The sequence below is a fragment of the Homo sapiens genome, chromosome 9 (genome assembly GCF_000001405.40).
Source record: "Homo sapiens chromosome 9, GRCh38.p14 Primary Assembly".
Lineage (NCBI taxonomy): Eukaryota > Metazoa > Chordata > Mammalia > Primates > Hominidae > Homo > Homo sapiens.
In genome coordinates this window covers 83,814,137-83,839,544 of record NC_000009.12, presented here as the reverse complement: position 1 = coordinate 83,839,544, position 25,408 = coordinate 83,814,137, and the positions used below count along the sequence as shown (strand labels likewise).

The following is a 25,408-nucleotide window of genomic DNA, read 5'->3' as shown; positions in this document are numbered from 1 at the left end:
TCTGTTACAGTGTATATGTTTTCTAACATGAGGATAAAATCAGTTTTATATGAACCTACATTCTCTCTACTTGTATTTAAACCTATCCTTGTATCAATTTAAATCACTATAAAACTATATGTAAGGATAATAGAGTCAAAAGATCTGGGTTGGAATCCTTACTTCTTTTACTAGTTGTTTGACCTTGGGCAAATTAATCTTTCCCTAGTCGGTTCCCTCAATTATAAAATTCTGGAAGAGGGAAACTTTCTTGTGAAGAATCCAAGTGGGCTTTGGAGTGAGCCTCAACAATGAGACTCTTTCCTTAAGATCTTTTGAAAATAAGATGCCTTACTCCTTCCCCCAGATACTGTCACCTGGGGAGCAGGATTTTTTTTTTAGAGTTGGGGTCTTGCTGTGTTGCCCAGGCTGGAGCTACCGGTAGTGGTACATTCATGGCTCACTGTAGCCTCAAACTCCTGTGCTTGAGCAATCCTCCCACCTCAGCCTCTCAAGTAGCTGGGGCTACAGGCATAAACCACCGCACCCAGCTAGGGAGCAGGATTTTTTAAAGCTTCCCAGTGACTCTGATGTACTGCAGAGTTTGGGAGCCACTGTCTGTGGTCAACTTAGTATGAGTTCCATGTACGAGGATCTAGATCATTTGCTAGTTCAGGTTATTTGATTTTGAGAGATTTTTAAAAACTAGAGAGTCAGTTATGTTTTAAACCAGGGGTTACAAACTAGAATGCCTACCTGAACCAGAGTGAGCAGTGGGGACTGCAGCAGTCATCTAAATGGTCAGTGGCAACGGTGTTCCAGCTGCTATTGCAATTCAGAAACTGTTAACTCTTATAGTTTTTCTAGAAAAGCTGTAAATCTATATTTTTATATGAAACTTTTCAAATTTTAAATCTTGGGTCAAGTATTACTAACATTATAGGCCAAGCAAAACATGTCTATGGGCCAGATTTGGCTTGAGAGCTGCCAATGTGCAACCTGTGTTTTAAAACTTTGTCTTGGCAGGACTGGGCCAGGTGCGGTGGCTCATGCCTGTAATCCCAGCACTTTGGGAGGCCAAGGCAGGCGGATCACCTGAGGTCAGGAGATCGAGACCATCCTGGCTAACACGGTGAAACCCCATCTCTACTAAAAATACAAAAAATTCGCCGGGCGTGGTGGCGGGTGCCTGTAGTCCCAGCTACTAGGGAGGCTGAGGCAGGAGAATGGCGTGAACCCAGGAAGCGGAGCTTGCAGTGAGCCGAGATCACGCCACTGCACTCCAACCTGGGCGACAGAGCGAGACTCCGTCTCAAAAAAAAAACAACAAAAAACTTTGTCTTTGCAGGACTGAAAGTGTACTAAGCATGCATCAATATATTGAAGTTGGCATTTTTCATCATATTAGGTCTAGTACTTGTATGCATTTCCCTTAAGCAAGTTTTTGTCTTTGCTATTAGATATTCTTTGATTTAAGAACCTCTAGCTTTGATCTCTTCACTCTAATTCCAGTGGGGTGTCCCCACCAAGGGCATATTCTCTCATCTCCATTTCGATGACAGAAATTGTGGCGCACACCCCAGAGTACATTCAGACAGGAGAACCCCGCTATCATGCTGGGAGTGCCAACCAAGGCCAGATTCCCACACATATAATGCCAAGTCCTAGAGTTTTCCCTCGAGATATGGGGCAGAGCCAATATTATCCAGTGCTGGCATCACTTGGCCATGATTTAGAATTCACTAGTAGCAAGAACAGCAGAGAAGGCAGGCATGGAAAGGCACCAGAGGTGCCCAAAGCACTCTTATGTTTCCAGGGAGTACCAAACCCCCAAAAGACTATTTCTCAATTTGTTCCATGAATTAAAGTTGTGAGTTATTCACATGCAAGATGCCTGTAAGTGAAATAAAAATATTCATATTCACACATCTGTTCATCTAAAATAAGTCATTTAACAAAAAAGTTGAAAAACATTATGCATATTGGGTGATAATAATGTATTTATGTTAAGATGTTTTGATTAAAATACCTAATTTTGAGGAAATAGTATCTAATTTTTTGGTTTGGGGATTATTTTTAGATCAAGAGGCTGGAGATGGAGTCCTGAAGCCAGAAGGAGGAGGCATGCTTTCAGAAGAATTAAAATGGGCATCCAGACCTGAAAGTATGAAATTAAGTGGAAGAGAAAGAGAAATGGACAGTTCAGCAAGCAGCTTAAGAACACAGCCAAATCCTCAAAAGCTCTGGGAAGATATCCCAGAATTACCTCCAATTCATAGTTCTTTAGCACCCCCCAGTGGGCATATGTTAGGTAATGAGAATAAAACAGAAACAGATGATAATCAGTTTACAAAATCTCACAGTCGACTGTCATCCCAAATTCAGGTTGTGGGAAATGTGGGACGACTTCATGGTGTCACACCTGTAAAACTGTGTCGAAAAGAATTACGTCAAATTTCCGCCTTGGAACTATCATTGCGACGTTCCAGTCTTGGAGTTGGCATTGGATCAATGGCTGCTGATTCCATCGAAGTATCTAGGAAACCAAGGGACTTAAAAACTTAGACATTGAATAATAGAACTTTTAGTAGATATGTAAAAAGATTCCTTTTTCTAACCTGTTAAAAACTAAAGCTCAAGTTCACTACCTCTTTCCTCAGAATAAAGGAAGAAGGGGAGGAAGGAATCCCTAATTCTTTTATATGCTATAGATGTGTACATCTTCTATATATATTTGGGGAGTTTTAGTTTATATTCCCATAGTAATCAAACATGTTTTCCAATACTTGATAACATTTAAATATTTATAAATACGCTTAAATGTTTTTCCAGGCATATTTGAAGATTAAAACTAGTAATAGACTAAAATATCTATCAAGTATGTATTATTATATAATATAAATGTACATCATAAAAGTATGTTACAATATAACTATATTATTGTTATTCTCAAATACAAGTATATTTTTTTTTTAAAAGATCCAGCTAAATCTTGCTTTTGTCAGAGGGAGTCACCTGCTGCATATGTGGGCTAAGACAACCTCTCAGCTTTATGGATTGAGGCTCATTTACAGTCCTCAGAACTCACAGAAACGGTCAGTCCTGACTTTTTAAACATGCTCACTGTTCTGTTTCTGGAATTTTTTTGGATTTTTAAAAATTTATAATGCTATCTTTTATGTTTGCTAATATTATGCAATATAAGTTTTCATGTCTTTCCTGCTCTATACACTCAATATATCTCTCATTATGTTACTAAAACTGGGAGAAATGAATGCTGTTCCATGGAACACGGAAATTATAGAATAAAACTAAAGCATTCTAACATTTCAAGAGAAAGAACACTGGTTATGACATCTCTGGTCACATGGAGTATGTCTGTAAAGCTTGAAGTCTTGCCAAAGCATCTTTAATGATTTGATGGGCTTAAGTCTGATATTTTTTTCTATAACCTCCTTAGTCAGGCTTTGCACACCGGCCAAACTACACTGGGGCTGTAAATATGTCAATGAAATTTTTACTAAAATCTCCAAGTTTTTCTGGTCAAAATTTTACTATATAATGTACAATTTAGTTTGGAATTAAGAACTAAACAGTTTGCACACCAAATGTAGTTTGTACTTTTTAACCATATTTTTCAGTTATAGGAAACATCCATTGTAATGACCTGAGGAATTATTTTGTTACTTATGTTGTTCTTTGTTACTTTTCCAAAACACTTGTAAACCGAAGTTGAGTTTCTTAAACTAATTAATGTTTTGTTGGGGGCTGTAGCAAAACCATCCTGACATGGATGCTTACTCAGAGTCACCCACTTCCTTGCTGAATCCATTTTTTTCTGATGTAGTGCTGCTACAGACCTTTTCCTTTTGTCCTTTCCTCTGTTGCTGTGGATTTGATCATCTCACATAGGACCCAAACTGTCACCCTGTGCTCAAAGACTTAAGGCTTCCTTTCTCTCATTGCTAGCCCCTAGGGAGTAGAGTTTCTTGGTCTCCTTGCTAAAAACCAGTTCCTTTAGGAAACAAACCAAAACAAAACAAACTTATAAAAAGGAAAATATCTCTTAAGCATGGTACTAAAATTTATTTAAATTAAATAGATTTCTGTGGACTTACCTGGGAATGAAACAATTTATAAATATTGGTCCAATGAGATACTATTTTCTAAATTTCAAAAAACTAATTTACAAACTTAACTGGGAAATTTTATTTTTACCAGGAACTGTTTGAAGTCAGATTCTGGTTTCCAGCTAGTCTTCCATTTTTATAAATTTATGTACATTTATATATAAATATAAATCATACAAACCAAAGGTAAAACATACACATTATAAATATGTATAAATGCACTGACCTTTTGCCATTATTATATATATTTCATATATATATATGTATATACACTTGTACATATACAAGTATATAAGGAAATGTGTTTGTATTTCCATAAGTAAAACAAGTATGTGTAAATTAATTATTTCTAACTAAGGCATAGCACATAATCTTACAAGGAACTTATAATTAGGATCTTTGTTAATAAATACATATTTATTTAAATATATTATTGCTGTGCTTTGTTGAAGGCACTGACCTTTTACCATTATATATACTTGTATATAAACACTTGTATATATATAGTATTATATATATACTTGTATATAGATATAGGTTATACATTTTACATTATTTCACTTTATATTATTTCATATCATATTTTATATCATGATATATCATTATATAGCTATAATGTATATATAGATACACTTGTATATATACATAGATATAGATATATATAATGGCCAAAGGTCAGTGCCCTTAGCAAGCACAGCAATATTTATAAATAAATATTTATTAATGAAGATCCTAATAATAAGTTCCTTATAAGATTAAGTAATGTGCTATGCGTTATTTAGGAATAATTCATTTAAGAATGTATTCTGATACTGGAATCCTACTTGCTCAAGAAATTAACACATACTTGTTTTACCTGTGGAAATACACATTTCCTCAAAGCCAACTCACTAATAAAGCAAGAAAATTTATATCAAAACAACAATGATTAGGTTTGACTATGCAATTGTGAGTTGATTTCTAAATAACAAAGGTATGGTGTTTTTCTTCCTTTTGGTTAAACATATATCCTTTATATATATGACATTTCATGCCACATATGCAAACACACATATAAATAACGTCGTGAATAATATATTCTGGAAATGAACCTCTGGTCATTCTAGTTTAGTCGGTGTTCTCACAAAGGAAAGAAAAAAATTAGACACCTACCCAAGGCAAGTAAAATTATTTTTTTACATATACTAATAATGATTTTACTTTTTCACATGCTTTTTCTAAACATTTTGTCACTTTATTGCCTTTTTGCATGTATATAAAATGTTTGTGGTTTTCTTTTTTTCGTTCATTATGTTCTTTTTTCCTCTTAACTGTAATAAAGCATTTGAAAGGAAAAATATTTGTAAAGTACTAGTTACTTTCCTAACTCTAGAGTGTTATAGCTAACAGAAATGGAAAATTCTTTATGTTGGGAACCACAGGTGGTGAGAACATTGATGAAGGTGCTTTTGTGCTTTAATGTTTGCTTTCTTTTTGTTAATGTATTTTTTTGTCGTTGCCTCAATTCTTCATATCTTCATGAACCCAGGGTCCAAGGAGTCAGCAAAAATATGATCTTCATTAATTGTGGACTAGATTGCCACTAGCCATTGCCTTGTTCAGTCTAGGCCAGTAAAGTGAGGAATGCTTATTTGAGACTAAATTCCTTATATAGAAAAAAATAAAAGTCTTATACTAAGTTTTGGAATGACTATCAGGGAGTGAAATCCTTAGTGGGAGTTCGGTTCTGTGGTCAAAACAAATTCTCATACATTAAATGCAAGTATGACATATTTTGATCTTTCACTTATTTCCTTAGGCACCTACTCGTGACTTTAAAGCACTGGGGTATCAGTATTTGAAAGTTCAGGTAGAAAGTTACTTATGTCCACAATTCCTCTCTCAACTTCACTGGACTTTTTAAAAAAATTCATTATGTATATTTTAAACATTTAAAGTTGTAACAGATTATAGGCTGCCTTGATTAACACTGGTAATATATTCTTCTACATTTATATTTTCAGAAATTGAAAATATAAAGGTGAGAATGAGATCCATTTGCAATAAGCATCTCAAAAGCATTGGGCATGTAGTACTTTTGAGCTTATGTTGGCAGAAGTACACCAAGGGTAGGGTACTGGGGAGCCTCTGCCCGATAAGGAGAAGTATTTTATCACTGTCATTGCTGCTGATAAAAGCAGGCTGAGTTTTCATAGGTTTTGTTGTTTTTAAATTATCTGTAAACAATGCACCCCTTATTGCCTACACCAAGGTTGACTGCTGTGATTCCTTCCATTCCTTGGAATGTACTGCATACAAAGAAAGCATCAAACACTGGAATAGTGTTTGATTTTTATAATGGCTTTCATGTTGACCCCAACATGACTCCAACATGGAGGTAATTAGAACAAAGGAAATTATGAAAAGAAATCCCAGAAAAAGTTGATATTATAATGATGGCTTTTGATATTTTGCATAGTTCTCATTTGTCTGTTTTTATATTTCCTTCTAGGAATTTCTGCAGTGAGTCAACAGAATTGGCACTATTTGAAATGCTAACAGTGTAATTTGAACCCAAATATATTGAATAAGACTTAGATATTATGTTCTACTGGTTAATTGTAACACACAGCTCTATTGAGTTATCTACAGTACTTTAAGAGAAAAATACAACAATCTCATAGTCTGTTATAATGAGCAAGATCCCTATATGCCCAAGGAACAAAACCATTCACAACAGAAAAGAATAGAAAATTAAATATTTTTTAAAAATGTATACTTAATGATTCTTGGAAATTTAAAACTATCTATTAATAATTATATAACTAAAGTAGAAAAGGAATTATTTTAAAACCTTATTTGTATACTGTATTATTGTGTTTTCAAGCTTACTACAGTACTTATATAAAGCAAGGTATAATTTTTCAAGTCCAATGTGGTAAATATTGTTAGAAGTTATGTGAGCGCATGCACACGTATGTTTATTGCGGCACTATTCACAATAGCAAAGACTTGGAACCAACCCAAATGTCCAACAATGATAGACTGGATTAAGAAAATGTGGCACATATACACCATGGAATACTATGCAGCCATAAAAAATGATGAGTTCATGTCCTTTGTAGGGACATGGATGAAGCTGGAAATCATCATTCTCAGTAAACTATCACAAGGACAAAAACCAAACACTGCATGTTCTCACTCATAGGTGGGAATTGAACAATGAGAACACATGGACACAGGAAGGGGAACATCACACTCGGGACTGTTGTGGGGTGGGGGGAGGGGGGAGGGATAGCATTAGGAGATACACCTAATGCTAAATGACGAGTTAATGGGTGCAGCACACCAGCATGGCACATGTATACATATGTAACTAACCTGCACATTGTGCACATGTACCCTAAAACTTAAAGTATAATAATAATAAAATAAAATTAAATTAAAAAAAAAGAAGTTATGTGATCGGCCAGGCACGGTGGCTCATGCCTGTAATCCCAGCACTTTGGGAGGCTGAGGCAGGTGGATCACGAGGTCAGGAGTTCAAGACCAGCCTGGCCATGATGAAACCCCATCTCTACTAAAAATACAAAATTAACCGAGTGTGGTGGCACACCTATAGTTCCAGCTACTCGGAAGGCTGAGGCAGGAGAATTGCTTGTACTCGTGAGGCAGAGGTTGCAGTGAGCCGAGATCGCGCCATTGCACTCCAGCCTGGGCAACAGAGGGAGACTCCGTCTCAAAAAAAAAAAAGTTACGTGGTCTGCCTTATTTTTAAACGAACCATTCCTTGGACCCCACGCCACACTTACCAACAACAAATCATAGGCATGTACTTACTTACCTTTCATTTCCCACAATGATCCAGGATTCCAATAGCTCTAAGACAGATGACTGGAGTGGGAGGGAGACGGGGGAAAGAGGTTTATTTGAAAGCATTCCATAGACAAGCAGAGGATTTTCAAAAAATATTTTGAGAGAATATATTTCTCTGGCATAAGGACTGAAACTTAAATTCAACCTTTGGCTATCTCTAAACACTAAAGAATACTCTTGGTTAGTACTGACTTTGCCATTAAAAAATAACTTTTTTATACTGGTTTTTATTTTTCATACTGGTATATTTTTATACTGGTTCCTTTTCCTATGTTTACTATTCACTCAGGATATTATGAAAAGAAGCCATCCTAGATCGAATTTGAATAGAAATTGTGGAGCCATTCGATAGAGAATTACAAGAAATAGCAGTTTGTGGTAAATTCCAATGGCCTAACAACATACACTGAAGGAAAGCAGTTAGGACTTAAGTGATTTTACCTTTGAAGAACCATGAATGATATACCAAAACAAACAAAAAAATTGCTGTAGGCAAAATGGGATTTATTTTTGTAAAACAATGATATCTCGACTATTTTGCTTATTTTTTTTCCTCTGCTAAAATGTCCCTGAATTTGTCTACCGAAAAACCTGTGTATAAAAAAACTTTAATTCAAGATTACAAACCAGCAGCTACTCGCCTGCCTTGAGGGGCTGGATTAATATTATTCATTTTCATTTGCGGGCTGTAGTTGCACTTCACTGTCTATCCTCTAGGAATGAAAAGGAGTGAGGAGTTATCCGAGTTCAACTAACTGATAATTTTCATAATAATTTATAACTATTAAAGTCAAAGTTTTGTTGTTACTTTCTAGCATGCTTTTTCTAGATGGGAATAATGGGAACAGGGCAAGGTATTTTAATACTGAGGAGTTAATCTCCTTTTGAAATTCCCATCACCTGGGAGGGTTGGACAGCATCTGAATTGTTCCATTCAAGGCCTGGGGCTAAGCCCATCTGTTTCACTAGACATTTTCCTGGCTAGCTCCAGGTGTCACCAGCTGTTAGACATGACTAGAATGACACAGCCTGTAATTTTATTAATAGAGTACATTAAATGACATTTTCTAAACCAAACAGCCTTTAAAAAACTATTTATGAATCACTACCCTGCATTTAATATCAAAATCATATTTTTCAAATGAAACACAAATTAGGGAAATTACTATTTTTGTTACATAGTGAATATTTTTGTTACATACCCTTGCTTTATCAAATAAATGCTTTATCAAATGAAAGCACTTTGAAAATTGAAGCATCATATATGTTTAAGATTAAATTATAAGTAAGTTTTCCATACAGTTGGATGTCAAAATGGGATAACTGTTTGGAACACATGGTTGTTTATTTTACATATATGCAAATCATAAGACATCTTCTAAACAAATTCTCAGTTTTAGTTATATATATCTTCTAAACAAATTCCCAATTTTAGTTATGTATGTTTCAACAGTATAAATAAGAGTATTCTCTGGGAAGATTAATGTGAATTCTAGCAAAAATATTTTAAAGACTTGCTGAATCTATTTTTATAGGCATAGAAGTGCTTCATGACTATTTCGTTGATTTATGAGTGAAAGAGGATGTTTTTTACTGGATCTTTGGCCACCAGTTTTTGGCTATTTATTACTTATTTTTTTAGTAACAGTTACATTTGTGAGCTATTGAACTATGGCTGGAAAATAACTTTTCTTAAAACTGATAAGAATTTTAAACTATTTTTCCCCAAAGAAACTATAAAACAAGTAGTTAATTTTTTTTGCACATGTATAGGTATATGATCAAATAAAAAGCAAATCAGTCCTCATTTAGCATCTGAGACTTTTAGCTCCTAAATACAACAAGTGTATTAATTTTAACATTACCACAGTGGCCTCTCCTTCATAAACATTCAGAAGGAAGCTCATTCCCCTTAGTTTGCAAGTATCTGCCAGTGTAAGGAACATTTTGTCTCTAGATCACAGCACCTATGACCTGAGCAGCCAAGGAAAGAGAAGGTCAAGACTTTAAGGGTAATGGAACCTACAATCATAAGTATTCTAGTGGATTGTGAACAAATAAATCAGAAAAGAAGAATACTAACATACAGTTTTCCTGAGTTACCTTAAGTGGTATGAGGTATTCTTAGTAAGGTTTATTACAAAATTCAGTATCTCCCATGAGAAAGGAAGCTAGGTTTAAGCATTTGATTATGTGAGTTTAGTTGGCCCTTCACCCTTCAAGACATGGGCCAGTACCGTGGGGTTTAGTTCTTATATGGGAAATAATCTGTACCTCTTCCAAAGGGTGGGCTGGTAGCTAAAGTTATTTATTTCCTGAAAATATAAAAAAATGGCATCTATATGTAAATGCTAAAATGTAAAGATGGAAATTTCTACAGGCTTTTAATTTATAGGCATTTTCCTGCTTTATATTTTCTATCAACCTTTATATTTTTGCTGATAGAGTTGAAAACTAAAAGCCCTATCCCTCAAGGAACTTACAGTCCAGTGACATTACTTATGGAGAGAGTAAAGCAGGGTAAGGAGACAGAAAATTAGGGGTGCTTTTTCAGATGGAAATATGTTTCTGAGCTCACATATATATAAAGCTGTAAGAACTACATGTAAACATACTGATCAAAAAATGCTCTTCTAATGTATGCATGCTCAAAAGAAGCAAGTATCATAAATTGTATCTGAACACGGAAATCACATCCAACCAGCTTTGATGGAAGGAGAAGAGCACTTTACAGTTTTAAGTCTTACATTTGGGTCTCTGATCAATTTTGAATTAGTTTTTGTACATGGTATGAGTTAAGGGTCCAACTTCATTATTTTGCATGCAGATATCCAGTTGTGTCAATACAATTTGTTGAAAAAAACTATTCTTTCCTCATTAAATTGTCTTCATACATTTGTTGAAAACCAATTGACCACACAGGTTTATTTCTGGACTCAATTTTATTCCACTGGTCTATATGTCTGTCCTATGACAGACCATACCACACTGTCTTGATTATGTAGTAAATTTTGAAGTCAAAGTGTGAACCCATGAACTTTGTTCTTCTTTTCCAACATTTGTTCATTATTTGGGGTCCCTTAAGTTTCCATATGAATTTTAGGACCAGTTGTCCATTTCTACAAAGAGGAAGATGGAATTTTGATAGGAATTGCATTGAATCTGTAGATCAATTTGGGGAGTACTGCCATCTGAGCAATATTCAGTCTTCCAATCCATGAACATAGGCTATCTTTCCATTCTTTTAACTGTGTTTTTTAGTTTTCAGTGTACATGTCTTACACTTCTTTGGTTTAATTTATTTCTAAATATTTTATTCTTTTTGATGCTACTGTAAGTGGAATTGTGTTCTTAATTTCATTTTCAGATGGTTCATTGCTAGTGTCAAGAAATACAACTGCTTTTTATATAATGATCACCATTTATTTTTAGTGGATAGTAAATTGGTTTAAGAACACATGCCATGAATCAAGAAACTTAGGTGGTGCTTACCCATACAAACTAATTTAATGAGCAGAAACCCCAACTACTTTTTTGTTGTTGTTGATAAAATTTTAGCTGGTTATTTTTAAGACTGTTTCTTTAGGAATTGTTTCTATTTTATTTCTAGGTTAAGGGTGGTATGAGCACAGTAGGTCATTTGGCATTTGTAGTCTGTAGTATGAGATCTTTCCTATAAGTGAAACACAAAGGAATAATCCTGAGCAACCCATGTCTCTCTGTATCTTGAGAATACTTTCTATATATTCTTCAATGCTATATACTGTATTTTAAAGATTAATTATTAATCCTGACAAATTTAATTTATTCAATAAACTTCTGTGTGCTAGGTCTTCATGCTGAGTGCTAAATGCTAAAAGAAACAAAGCTTAATAAACCACAGATCCATCCACCAAGGAACATACAGCCTGTTGAGGAAAGACAGACAAGTAAATAGGCAGTTACATTTGAGTTTGTTCATTCAACAACCACCTGAATGCAAACAATGAGCCTGGCACTGTAGTGACATACCAGTGAGTAAAACAGACCCGGTCTCTGCTTTTAAGGGGCTCACAAAGTAAAGAGGAATATAATGACTCGTAAAAATATAGAGGGTACTGTGGGAGTATGGAGGAAGGGCATCTAACTTTTAGGGGTAAGGTAAGTGAGAACACATGGTATTTGGTATTCTGGTTCCTGCACTAATTCGTTTACGATAATTGGCCTCCAGCTGCATCCATGTTGCTGCAAAGGACATGATTTCGTCGTTTTTTAGGGCTGTGACTATTTTTCCTGGAGGTTTTTATTCCCTTTCTTCTTCTTCTTAGTTGCTTTTTTGTTTTTGTTTTTGTTTTTTGTTTTTTTTTTTGAGACGAAGTCTGGTGTTTAGTTACTATATGCAATGACCTTGGAACGATAAGAGATGGTTGGAGAGTGGAGGCTTGAATTAAATTAGAGGAGGACCTGTAGTTACCAGTAATATTACAGTGTAAGGAATGCATATGAGAATGGATAATTGAGGTACCAGAGGGTACGAGATCCTTTGAAGGGAGGTCAAGGAATTGAGACACAGTAAGGATTTTGAAATGAACATCCACATAGTTATATATATCTGTTATACATACATACATACATATATACACATACCCCTCACAAAGAATTACCGCAAGAGTGATTCCACAATAGTGTTGTAGTAGTGAGTAGTTTTGGAGAGAGTGATAGTAGCCCTAGTACTAAAATCTTTAATCTATGAGTGAGGGGTTGAATTCTTCAAATTAGGCTGCACAGGGACATCAGTGGTTTAATATGTTAAACTCTTGCAAATATCACATTTCATTAAACAGATGCTTTTACGTTTTATGTTGCTAAAGTGAGATTTCTAATTGCTTCTCTCTGACCTCTCAAATTACGATGGTAACTGCCTTCTTTTACAGGAAATGCCCATCTGTCTGTATTAAACACCAGACACATGCCAGGTTTTCCAATTTAAATGACAGTGCTTTAAAACTTGTCATAGACTACTCTGTCCTACCTCCAACGTGTATTTCAAGTAGATACATCTACAGATGCTAGCTCTGCCACATCAAACAATGCACAGTGAATGTTCAAAATCTACATTAAAAACCTCGGTTATAAAGAGCTAGATACTCTGTTTTACATGATGTGATTATTACACATTGCATGCTTGTATCAGAACATCTCATATACCCCATAAATATATACATCTACTGTGTATGCACAAAAATTAAAATTATTATTATTTTTGAGATGGAGTCTTGCCCGGTCAACCAGACCAGAGTGCAGTGGTGCAGTCTCGGCTCACTGCAACTTCCGCCTCCCTGGTTCAAGCGATTCTCCTGCCTCAGCCTCCCGAGTAGCTGGGACTACAGGTGCCCACCACCACACCTGGCTAATTTTTTGTATTTTTAGTAGAGACAGGTTTCACCGTGTTAGCCAGGATGGTCTTGATCTCCCGACCTCGTGCTCTGCCTGCCTCGGCCTCCCAAAGTGCTGGGATTACAGGCATGAGCTATAGTACCCGGGCCAAAAATTAAAATTAAAAATTAAAAAATTAAAACTTCAGTTATAGCTTAAGTTAACAGTAAGTAGGGACTGGCTAAAGACCTGATAAATTGAAAATAAGATTACCTGTAGCTTGGGAAATGATGTACCATGTTATGTAAGATAGGGGCTTTGGGCTCAGACTGCTAGGGGTAGAATTATGAGGTTATTGTGAGGATAAGACACGTTACACACACACACACACACACACACACACACAACCATTCTAAAGACTGCAAGTACATATAAGCATTAAGTTAGGTATGGTTATTCTATTATCATACTTATTTCTAATTATTATGGAATTTCTTTAACTATACATGGACTTTTCCTACTTAGAAAATGTTCATTACATCTGTACACGTTAAGACCCAGTGGCAAGGGGACATCTGGTTAAGCATAGTGCATTGAACACACATTTGTCTCCACTTACTCCAGAGATCTCATTAAAATGACAGTAAAGGAATAAAAGAGATATAAATCTATAAAGAAAAAGCAAACAGGGAAAGAGATCCCAGCTGAATAAAATGCCAACAAAACTTAGAAGCATGGAAAGCAGATGGATGAGTGATCACTGACTTACCAAAGCCGCCAAAGTGACTACTTCAGCTTTTGGGAGAAGGCAGAACCAGCCAGAAGTGAGCCTATCCATGTCACAGCACCCTGGAAAGGCTCTAAAACTAGAGCTGCTTTCTCTCCGAAAGCAGAAGGAGAACAAGGCTGAAAAGGAGAATTCACTGTGAATGTTTTCTAAAGAGAATGATCCTGCCTCCCCTAGATTCCCTACTCCATTCCATGCTGCCCAAATTCACCGGAAGATAGATGGTTTACTTTCTGGAGAGGTTGACTCAGAGCTCTCCTAGGCACCAGGCAGAGCTGAAGACAGGGATGACTCACTACACAGAAAAGCAGAATTAAGTGAAGTTGTGCATATTAAATTATAAGGCAGACCCCTTTCCCCCAGCTTCATTCACAAATTCAGATCCTAGAATGCTGGGATCCTGTCAAGAGACTGGAAGCTTCTTAGGGGAAAACCAGCTGCTCCAAGAGAAGAGGTCTCCAAATATTGAGGTTTGGGGATCCCACGGTGAAGAGTGTGGCTTGTTGACTGTCTTTTACAGTCAGCCCAATAGTCAGTAATCCCTGATTGTTCCTACAGAGGCTCTCATCAACATCTTATTGCCTCATTCTTTTATTTGAAAAATTTTGGCTGGGCGCGCTAGCTAACACCTGTAATCCCAACAGTTTAGGAGGCTGAGGTGAGAGGATCACTTGAGCCCAGGAGTTCAAGACCAGCCTGGGCAACATAGTGAGATCCCATCTCTACAAATAAGAATTAAAAATTAGTTGGGCCTGGTGGTACACACCTGTAGTCCTAGCTACTTGGGAGGCTGAGGGTGGAGGATAATTTGAGCCAGGAGTTTGAGGCTGCAGTGAACTGTGATTGCACCACTGTACTCCAGTCTGGTTAACAGAGTGAGACCCTCTCTAAAAATAATACAAATTTAACAAGTTTTTCATAGATGGGGTATCTCTGTGTTGCACAGGCTGACCTCAAACTCCTGGCCTCAAATGATCCTCCTGCCTGTGTAAATTAGTTCAACCATTGTGGAGGACAATGTGGCAATTCCTCAAGGATCTAGAACTAGATATACCATTTGACCCAGCAATCCCATTATTGGGTATATACCCAGAGGATTATAAATCATGCTACTATAAAGACACACAAACATGTATGTTTATTGTGGCATTATTCACGATAGCAAAGACTTAGAATCAACCCAAATGTCTATCAGTGATAGACTGGATTAAGAAAATGTGGCACATATACACCATGGAATACTATGCAGCCATAAAAAGGATGAGTTCATGTCCTTTGCAGGGACATGAATGAAGTTGGAAACCATCATTCTCAGCAAACTATCACAAGGACAGAAAACCAAACACTGCACGTTCTCACTCATAGATGGGAATTGAACAATGAGAACATTTGGACACAGGGCGAGGAACATCACACACTGGCACCTGTGGGGAGGGATAGCATTCGGAGGTATACCTAATGTAAATGACGAGTTGATGGGTGCAGCAAACCAACATGGCACATGTATACCTATGTATCAAACCTGCACATTGTGCACATGTACCCTAAACTTAAAGTATAATAATAATAATAATAATAAAGATCCTCCTGCCTCAGCCTCCCAAGTAGCTGGGACTACAGGCATGAGCCATGATGCCCAGATATCACCTCATTCTTAAATGTGGTGAACAGTTGATGATCTCCATTTATTTGAAGAAACCTCCTTACATAAAAGACAGAATCTACAATGAACAAACAAGAAAAGAAAAAAAAGCTTTAGAGGCCAGTTGTGGTGTAATCCCTGCACTTTGGGAGGCCAAGGTGGGTGGGTCACCAGAGGTCAGGAGTTCGAGACCAGCCTGGCCAACATGGTGAAACCCCATCTCTACTAAAAATACAAAAAAGTAGCTGCGCGTGGTGGCACACACTTGTAATCCCAGCTACTTGGGAGGCTGAAGCCGGAGAATTGCTTGAACACAGGAGGCAGAGGTTGCAGTGAGCTGAGGTCATGCCACTACACTCCAGCCTGGGAAACGAGTGAAACTCCGTCTCTAAAAAGAAAAAAAAAAAAAGAAATTGGAGGAAATAAAAGCAGTACAGAAAGCCAGAAAACATGTCAAAATCAAGAAATTCTCAAAAATTTTAACTTCCATATACTCTTCTCACTCAGGAAACTGCTGGAAGGAGCACTCCATCCAAGTAAAGGCGTATATCAAGAAACAGAAAAACATGTGGCTGGGCACAGTGGCTCACACCTGTAATCTCAGAACTTTGGGAGGCTGAGGCAGGTGGATCACTTTAGGCCAGAAGTTTGAGACCAGCCTGGCCAATATGGTGAAACCTCATGTTTACCAAAAATACAAAAAAAAAAAAAAAATAGCCGATATGGTGGCACATGCCTGTAATCCCAACTACTTGAGAGGTGGAGGCAGGAGAATCACTTGAACCTGAGAGGCGGAGGCTGCAGTGAGCTGAGATTATGCCTCTGTACTCCAGCCTGGGTGACAGAGTGAGAGTCCGTCTCAAAAAAGAGAAAAAGAGAAACAGAAAAACATGGGATCTGGTAAACCAGAACTCCAACAAAGCAGAAAACAAAGAGAATTCTCTAGACAAGCTTTTCCAACCTGTGGTGTGTGGCCCAGGATGACTTTGAATGTGGCCCATCACAAATTTGTAAACTTTCTTAAAACATACTTTTTTGTGATTTTTTTTTAGCTCATCAGCTATTGTTAGTGTATTTTATTGTGGTCCAAGACAATTCTTCTTCCAGTGTGGCCCAGGAAAGCCAAAAGATTGGACACTCCTGCCCTAGATGAAGGTGATGGGAGGTTCCAGGAAGTCAGCTGTGTAGCAGGCCTGGAGAGCACACTAGAGGATGGAAGTGTCTAGAAGGGATGTCTCCAAGAAAAGAAAATGGAAATGATGGATTACCTAATATGTCTGAAACTTTTGAACAAAATTTCACAACTCTGGTGGAAAATACGGAGATGTAATGGTGATAGATATAGAGAAAACTAAGCAACCACCAGGTGTGGTGGCTCACATCTGTAATCCCAACATTTTGGGAACTGAGGCAGGGGGATGGCTTGAGCTCAGGAGTTTTGAGACCAGGCCAGGCAACATTGTGAGACTTTGTCTCTACCTTAAGAAAAAAAAAAAAATTAGCCAGGAGTACTGGTGCACATCTGTAGTCCCAGCTACTCAGGAGGCTGAGGTGGGAGCCTGGGAGATTGAGGCTGCAGTGGGCTATCATCGCGTCACTGCACTCCAGCCTTAGTGAAAGAATGAGATCCAGTCTCAGAAAAATGAGAGAGAGAGAGATAAAACTAAGCAACTTAAGAAAGAAGGAAGAGCCAGGCGCAGTGGCTCATGCCTGTAATCCCAGCACTTTGGGAGGCCGAGGCAGGCAGAGCACGAGGTCGGGAGATCAAGACCATCCTGGCTAACACGGTGAAACCTGTCTCTACTAAAAATACAAAAAATTAGCCAGGTGTGGTGGTGGGCACCTGTAGTCCCAGCTACTCGGGAGGCTGAGGCAGGAGAATCGCTTGAACCAGGGAGGCGGAAGTTGCAGTGAGCCGAGACTGCACCACTGCACTCTGGTCTGGTTGACCGGGCAAGACTCCATCTCAAAAATAATAATAATTTTAATTTTTGTGCATACACAGTAGATGTATATATTTATGGGGTATATGAGATGTTCTGATACAAGCATGCAATGTGTAATAATCACATCATGTAAAACAGAGTATCTAGCTCTTTATAACCGAGGTTTTTAATGTAGATTTTGAACATTCACTGTGCATTGTTTGATGTGGCAGAGCTAGCATCTGTAGATGTATCTACTTGAAATACACGTTGGAGGTAGGACAGAGTAGTCTATGACAAGTTTTAAAGCACTGTCATTTAAATTGGAAAACCTGGCATGTGTCTGGTGTTTAATACAGACAGATGGGCATTTCCTGTAAAAGAAGGCAGTTACCATCGTAATTTGAGAGGTCAGAGAGAAGCAATTAGAAATCTCACTTTAGCAACATAAAACGTAAAAGCATCTGTTTAATGAAATGTGATATTTGCAAGAGTTTAACATATTAAACCACTGATGTCCCTGTGCAGCCTAATTTGAAGAATTCAACCCCTCACTCATAGATTAAAGATTTTAGTACTAGGGCTACTATCACTCTCTCCAAAACTACTCACTACTACAACACTACTGTGGAATCACTCTTGCGGTAATTCTTTGTGAGGGGTATGTGTATATATGTATGTATGTATGTATAACAGATATATATAACTATGTGGATGTTCATTTCAAAATCCTTACTGTGTCTCAATTCCTTGACCTCCCTTCAAAGGATCTCGTACCCTCTGGTACCTCAATTATCCATTCTCATATGCATTCCTTACACTGTAATATTACTGGTAACTACAGGTCCTCCTCTAATTTAATTCAAGCCTCCACTCTCCAACCACCTCTTATCGTTCCAAGGTCATTGCATATAGTAACTAAACTTCAACAATTCTTCAACCTCATCAAAAACACCAATTCAGTCACTCTACCGTCTTTCCACCATTCTTCACTCCTCTCATAGCTTTACTTCTTACCACTTCTGAAATTATAAGGCCTCCTTTGCCTCTATCAACACCAACTCTGCCCTTATCTTCCCCTTATACTTGCCTGGTCAAATCTCAGTCCTGGTTACTGCCAAAACTGCCTACTCAGTGCCTGCACATGAGCAACTGAATATGGCTAGAGAAAATTGCATAACCAAGTGGCTAGCCTCACTATAAATTCATGACCACTTATTCAATGGGGCTCTTAGTAATGCCTGGAAACTTTACCATGTTCTTTAGTCAGTTCACTCTCCCTCACTCATAAACTCTGATTTCACCTCCCTTCTCTCTTTTTTTCTCAATACTTTCCGTTAAGGACTACATTACCTAGAGTAGGCTAAACTGCTATAAAAAATAGACTGCAAAATGTTATGGCTCCAACTCAATAGAAATATATCTTGCTCACATAATTGGGTGTCCAGGTCAGTGGGTAGCTCTCCTTCATCCAGGCACCTTCTTTCTTGTGGCTCTGCCAACCCCAGAGGTTTGTGGTCATCTGCATAATTGAATCAGAGTCACCGTGTCCAGGGTCCAGCTGGCAGAAAGGAAAATGCATGAAAGAGGCACAAGTACTCTCAAAGTAAACGCCTTGGCCTGACAGTGGCAGACATAACATCTGCTCACGTTCTATAACTTAATACTTGACCATATGCAACTGAAAGAGAGGCTGAGAAAAGCAGTCTGTGTTTTCAGGGAGAAAGGGAGACTAAATTGTGATGGACAATTAGCAGTCTGCCAAAATGATCTTGCTCCTCACTTTGCTGAGAAAATAGAAGCAACTGGAAGAGAACTACTTTCTCCCACTGTCCAATCTATCTACTTATCTCGACATGTCCCATACACGTGGGAACTGGGGAAGATGGGATGGATCCCTAGACTAAACTTGACCAGAAAGGGGATCTTTCTTCCCAGGCTTTCAATAAGAACAATGTGGTCTCAAAGACCCTACTACCTAATCACAAAGTGCAAACATACCTTCTTTCCTTGTGCTTTTCAACCTCTGTGGTTTTGGATATTGTTGAGCAACACTCCTTCCAGCCCTGTTTTTGTGAAACTCCAATTTACCTTGTCTTGATGATTCTGCGTTACCCTATTCTCCTCCCATTTTCTGCTCCATCCCCTTTCTTTGCTGGCTTGGCTCACCTAGATCAGAGCTTCTCAAACTTTTTGATGTGACACAAATCTCTTCGGGTTCTTGTTAAGTTGAAGATGCTGGTTCAGCAGGTCTGGGGTGGAGCCTGAGATTCTGAGTTTCTAACTAACATCCTCATGTCAGTGCTGCTGGGCCACTGACCACGTTTTGAGTAGCGAGACTCTAAAGAGGGTGTTTTCCAAGATTCTGACCTTTGTTTTCTTCTTTTATCTCACAGCAATATCACTCCTAGGCTGATTATTTATGAGTCTATTTTCTAGTTCAGTCCTCTTTCCCATATTACAAAACCTTTATTTCTAACTTATTAGTGTCCATGTCTCTCTGGCTGTCTTGACAACCCTTTGAATTCTTAAAATGTCCAAATCTAAACTGATCTCTCAAGAAGTAGCTCCCTCTCCTTTGTAATTGTCTCTTTTCTCTCTTGCAATTATCTACAAACTCAAAACCTCCACTTTCTTTGATTTCTCTCTTCCTACCCACAATTAATCAATCAGTTGCCAAATTCTATAGATACTGCATGCACATCATCTCTCAACTATGCTCTTTTAAATTCCCCTAGCTGTCCCTTTAGGTCAGACTCATCATTTTTACCTGGCCTACAGTAGATCTGTCCGTTTTTCCACCTCTGATTTCTGCTTCCCCTCACAGATAAATCACTAGCACAAAGAAAAAAAAAAACCTTCCTTTTCTTCCCCCAAACTTCTGAACCATAAAAACTCAAAATACTGAATTAAATATAAATTCATCCATTTGGTATCTTAGGCCCCATACTCCTTTGTCTTTTCTACCTCTCAACATACCCTGGAGTCTTTGCTCTTTCCCCAACACAACTTTCACTGATTCGCCTTCATATATATTCTCATGCTATCCCTGCTTGCTGTAAAACTCTCCCTGTCTCCTTCAAGGTCAATCCCAAATGCCTACTCCTTCATGCTGCCTTTCTTTCCTTATCCCCAAGACAGATATACACGGTTCTTTGATTCCCGGCAGTACTCTGCCACTTTTCACGTGGCACCTATCATGGTTTGTCTTTTATTGTCTGTTTTATCTTTGTTTTATTCCTTACTTCTTTGAAGGCAAAGGTATCTTCAACTCCCCTCTAACTCTGAAGCATCTTACCTGTGGGGCGTCTAATATTAGTTGAATCATGGGGATTTATGGAGATAATGTGATGCGCTGGTAAGCTAACAGAATTGGAAGCCAGTACAGCTGGGTGCCGGCTCTGCCGTTTATTAGCTGTGAGGTTTTGGGTAAGTCACTTAACTTCGCCTGTAAAATTAGTCCACTACGACCTGATGGAGAACCAAGGGAGATAACGTTAAAGCGCCCTGCAACTCTACAGGGAACTGAGCAATGTTAGTTATTTTCCTTACAGAGATCTGATGCACTCTTGCTACTGGAATCTTGACTTGCAGGACCATCCCTACTTCATTGCCTGGAGGTCGAACCCCAAGTTGCAGGGAACCCAAGCTACCAGGTCCCACTGCCCTTTTCCACTCCAGGGCCCTCTAACCGCTCTCCGCGTCGCAGGTGATCCTGCCTTGCTGCGGGGGAGTGGCCTAGAGTCTCACTCCCTCGGGAGGCCTCCCTCCTTCCACCCGCTTGAGGAGAGCCCTTCTCTTCCCTGTGACCCCGAAGACCGTGGCGCCGCCGCCTACGTGAGGCGTTTGGACCCTGCCCGGCCCCCGTAGCTCCCCTTCTCCAGCAGGTGGTTCTGGTCCTCTCCCCCAACTCGGGCGCTCACGTCACCGGCGAACCTCTAACCAGCGCCAGCGCCGCTACCAACCGCGAAAATAAACAAACCCCCGCGCTCGGCGGACGCGCCAGGCCCCGCCCCCGCCCCCGCCCCCGCCCCGAGGCTCTCACGCCGCCTCCTCCGCCCGGGCTTCCCTCCACCCTCCGCCCGCCCGCCTGCTCTCAGCCGCGCTCTCCCCGCCCCTCACCGCAGCCTGCAGCCGCGCTCACCTCCGCGGTCCGCCCCGGCGCCCCGGGACCCGTTAGTGCCCAGCCTGTGGGCCGACCGCGACCCCCGCCCGGCGCGAGCCTGCCCCCAGCTCTGCCGACACTTGACCCAGACCAGTCCCAACGCCCAGTGCGGCCGCCCGGGGAGCCGCGGGAGAGGCGGCGGCGGGGGGAGGAGGGAGAGGAGGGCCGAGCCGGCGGCACGGGAGGCCCGGTGAGTACGCGGAGGCGGGCCCGCCTCGCGGGTGTCCGCTCCGGCACCCCGGAGGCGTAGGCAGCGGCTCGACAGCGCTCCCCTCGGCGCCCCGGCCTCGGGTGGCGGGGACTCGGCCTGAGGCGACGGGCCCCACTGACCGGAGCCGCTGGGCAGAGGGCACGGGAGGGCCGCGGCCCGACGCTCGGCGCAAGGCTCGGGGCGGCGGGGAGGGACTCGCACCCGACTCCCAGGCCGGCGACCGCTGAGCCTCCCGAGACCCCGTGGGGGCCGCTCGAGTGACAGGTGCCACCGTCCCCTCCCCGCCGCTGGCGCCCGCGCTCCCTCCCGGGGAGCCGGGCGCTCGGAAATTTCTGGAGCAACGACCTGACTCGTTTTCTCCCTTTCAGGTTTTGAAGCCGCTTCTCTGCCCGAGTTAGGTTTCGCCCAGCGCAATTTCTTTCTCTATGTACTTTGCGAATAAGTTTCGGAGCATCGGTTAACAGCCTATGGGTGAAATTTGGCTTTCATTCATGAATGAGGTATAGTGAATTACTTTTTGAATATAGTGCTCCTCCTCCTCCCCCGCCAGCTATTGAAAAGTGATTTTTTTTTCTGTTATTGTTTGGAACAGCCTTACCGAATTTTTGTCAGATCTCTAGCATTAAGGTGCTTCATAAATATTGAACAGTAACGACAAAAATAGTTTATCAAATTGGCTGATTGCCTTTTCTCTTCCTCCTCTTTTTCACTCTTTACCTTCGCCAGATTTTTCAGAGTAGATGCAAGTGCTTTCATTAGAAGAACTAATGAAAGATCGTCTGTCTTACACTAAAAAGCCGGAGACACTTTTCTTCACCATTTAGCATTGTCTGTTGTGTAGTAAATGTGCTTGGGATTGTAACTGGAATCATTTAATAAATGTGACTTGTAGCTATAAAAATATTTGAGAAGCTTTTTGGCAAATTAAAATATTAAAAATCTTCATAGAAGTCTAGATTTCTTTTCTCAACAGATTTATAACACTATAGTAGCTTCAATTCTGGAGTAAGAGCAAAACCCAGAAGTTGACCAAAAGAACCTTGTGTGAAAATAGATGTATTTTACTCGTGGGAGAATCCCTCAGGTCCTCACTGAGTACCTGCTTGTATTTTTTGTTTAACTTTCTTGGCCTGCAGAAAGTGGGAGCTGCAGATTGGAGAGGGATCTCAGTACTTAACTATGAGAAAAAAATGGAGTTTGGGGCATACCCATTGGGTTTACATCACTTACAGTAAGTGTGTTTGGAGCAGAGTTTTAGTATGCACTTCACACTTGCTGATTGTGAACCCTATTTTTTTTTTTTCTTGAGGCGGAATTTTGCTCTTGTTGCCCAGGCTGGAGTGTAATGGCGCGATCTCGGCTCACAGCACCTTCTGCCTTCCAGGTTCAAGCAGCTCTCCTGCCTCAGCCTCCTGAGTAGCTGGGATTACAGGCGCCTGGCTAATTTTTTTTTTTTTTTTTTTTGTATTTTTAATACAGACGGTGTTTCGCCTTGTTGGCCAGGCTGGTCTGGAACTCCTGACCTCGTGATCTGCCCACCTCTGCCTCCCAAAGTGCTGGGATTACAAGTGTGAGCCACCACACCTGGCCTGTGAACCCTAATTTTTAAGAAGCCAAAGTGAAAGATACTGTTTGGTTATCTGAAGAACAGAACATGAAATAACACAATTTTTTATTTCACCAGGTGTTAAATCAGTGATACTTGGTGCCATTTCATATTACGCTCAGTTAATTTCGATCTAAGTTATATTTCAGTGAGGCCACACTAATTGGCATCTACATTAATACCTTTTTTTGGTCAGGCTAATTGGTAGTGTTAATAGAAGATGGCTATCATTCATCTCATAAAAAGTAATATATTTGGTTGTTCTTGATTTAAGGATTTTATATGTATAATTGTGTGTGTGTGTGTGTGTGTGTGTTTTCTGAAGTTCCCTAATTGTGGTCTTCTGGACTGAGATATGGCTGCTGCTGTCTTGATTCTAGTGAGGTCATAGTGTAGAGGGATAAGGTCATAATGGCAATGTGCCTCCAAACCTTGATAGAGGCCAAGACTACCAGCCACTTAGGAATTCTTCTGCTTGGGTCGGGCTTGGTGGTGCATGCCTGTAATCCCAGCCCTTTGGGAGGCCGAGGCTGGAGGATTGCTTGAGCTCAGGAGTTTGAGATCAGCCTGGGCAACATAGTGAGACCCCATGTATACACAAAGAGAAAAAAAAAATTCTCCTGCTTGTAGCTTAGGCTATTCATTTTTAGAAGCAGTTTACTTAAGCAGCCAATGCATCCTAGTTCTCTTAAATTAACACTTTAGTTTTTCATTTTTTTGAGACAGTCTCTCGCTCTGTTGCCAGGCTGGAATGTGGTGGCGCAGTCTTGGCTCACTGCAACCTCTACCTCCCTGGTTCAAGCGATTCTCCTGCCTCAGCCTCCCGAGTAGCTGGGACTACAGGCGTGCGCCACCATGCCCAGCTAGTTTTTGTATTTTTAGTAGAGATGGGGTTTCACTACGTTGGCCAGGATGGTCTCGATCTCTTGACCTTGTGATCCACCCGCCTTGGCCTCCCAAAGTGCTGGGATTACAGGCGTGAGCCACCATGCCCGGCTGGCTTAAATCAACACTTTAAAACCAGATATGCTTCCTAGACAAAATTGGTTGTGGCAATTAGTTTGTTAGAATAGTACTTACCGTAATGAAACAACTTTGAACTGCTAATAATTGCTCATGCACATCTGCGTTATGGGAATTGAGGATTGTCTATTGTGCACTTCACATATTTCTTTTTCTACTTGTAGAGCACATTTTTCACTGCATAGACAGCTGTGTACTTGAAGAATGTAAACATGAAGAAAACACTAAGTTCAATAAATGTGTCTTCTATGTGCCAGATCCTGTGGTATTTGTAAGGGATAGAAACTCTTGTCTTTCAGGATCTTGAAATCAGGATCATAGGGGCTAGGCACAACAATAAAGAGAATTTTTTTGGAGTCCATTCAATAATAGTAAGTTTAAAGTATGGAAATATTACAGAGGAGGGAATGTTTAACTTCAGGAACAGGTCAGAGAACGCTTCATAGATATGCTAGCACCTGAGCAGGATTTTGAGGAATAAATGGAAGTTTTCAGTGGAAGAGATAGATGGCATTGTAGACAAAAGAGAACAGCATAGTTAAAGATATGAACAAGTAAACTAATTGTGTGTTCAAGAAATTTCAAGTTGTTTTTTCTTGGAGTACATGCAAAATCTGAAGAAAGAGGGTTGCTAGAGAAAGCCCTAACGCATGCTATTACATTTAATAAGTCAAATAATTGGCTTTTTGGGTATGAAGTATATGTAAAATAAAGACTTTGTTATATTTTT

General features: G+C 39.7%; 2 protein-coding genes and 1 long non-coding RNA gene across 46 annotated transcripts in view, besides 1 other annotated feature; 2 read left to right on the top strand and 1 right to left on the bottom strand.

The window, feature by feature from the left end:
* Positions 1-5,446, top strand: part of KIF27 (kinesin family member 27) — an 87,334-nt gene extending 81,888 nt beyond the window's left edge. For all 30 annotated transcript variants that reach the window (NM_001271927.3, NM_001271928.3, NM_017576.4 and 27 more), the window contains one exon: positions 2,060-5,446. In NM_001271927.3, the coding sequence (NP_001258856.1) occupies positions 2,060-2,544 (485 nt within the window). In that variant the 3' untranslated portion in view covers positions 2,545-5,446. The remainder of the gene's footprint in view (positions 1-2,059) is intronic.
* On the bottom strand, positions 1,962-21,879 carry LOC101927552 (uncharacterized). Of its 12 annotated transcripts, XR_001746795.2 has the most exons (7): positions 20,972-21,681; positions 19,675-19,739; positions 19,106-19,234; positions 8,592-8,677; positions 7,933-7,982; positions 3,840-3,994; positions 1,962-2,515 (listed from the first exon to the last, which is right to left on the bottom strand). It is a non-coding gene; the product is annotated as an uncharacterized LOC101927552 (long non-coding RNA). The 12 variants fall into 12 exon arrangements; XR_001746793.2 differs by adding an exon at positions 21,818-21,879 and having other exon boundaries at positions 19,106-21,144; XR_001746789.2 differs by adding an exon at positions 9,830-9,938 and having other exon boundaries at positions 19,106-21,681.
* Positions 21,582-22,401: a silencer, noted in NCBI's record as "silent region_19978". NCBI's record gives its function as "represses an Ori minimal core promoter by ATAC-STARR-seq in GM12878 lymphoblastoid cells {active_cell/tissue: GM12878}" and the evidence as "EXISTENCE:reporter gene assay evidence [ECO:0000049][PMID:35858748]".
* GKAP1 (G kinase anchoring protein 1) overlaps positions 21,776-25,408 on the top strand; it is a 78,345-nt gene continuing 74,712 nt past the window's right edge. For 2 of the 4 annotated variants that reach the window (NM_001135953.2, NM_025211.4), the window contains exons 1-2: positions 21,776-22,028; positions 22,418-22,549. The gene's annotated coding sequence lies outside the window, so the exon portion shown is untranslated. Of the gene's footprint in view, positions 22,029-22,061; positions 22,314-22,417; positions 22,550-23,528; positions 23,620-25,408 lie in introns of those variants that run through there. The other 2 variants (XM_011519058.3, XM_005252241.3) reach the window with 2 other exon arrangements.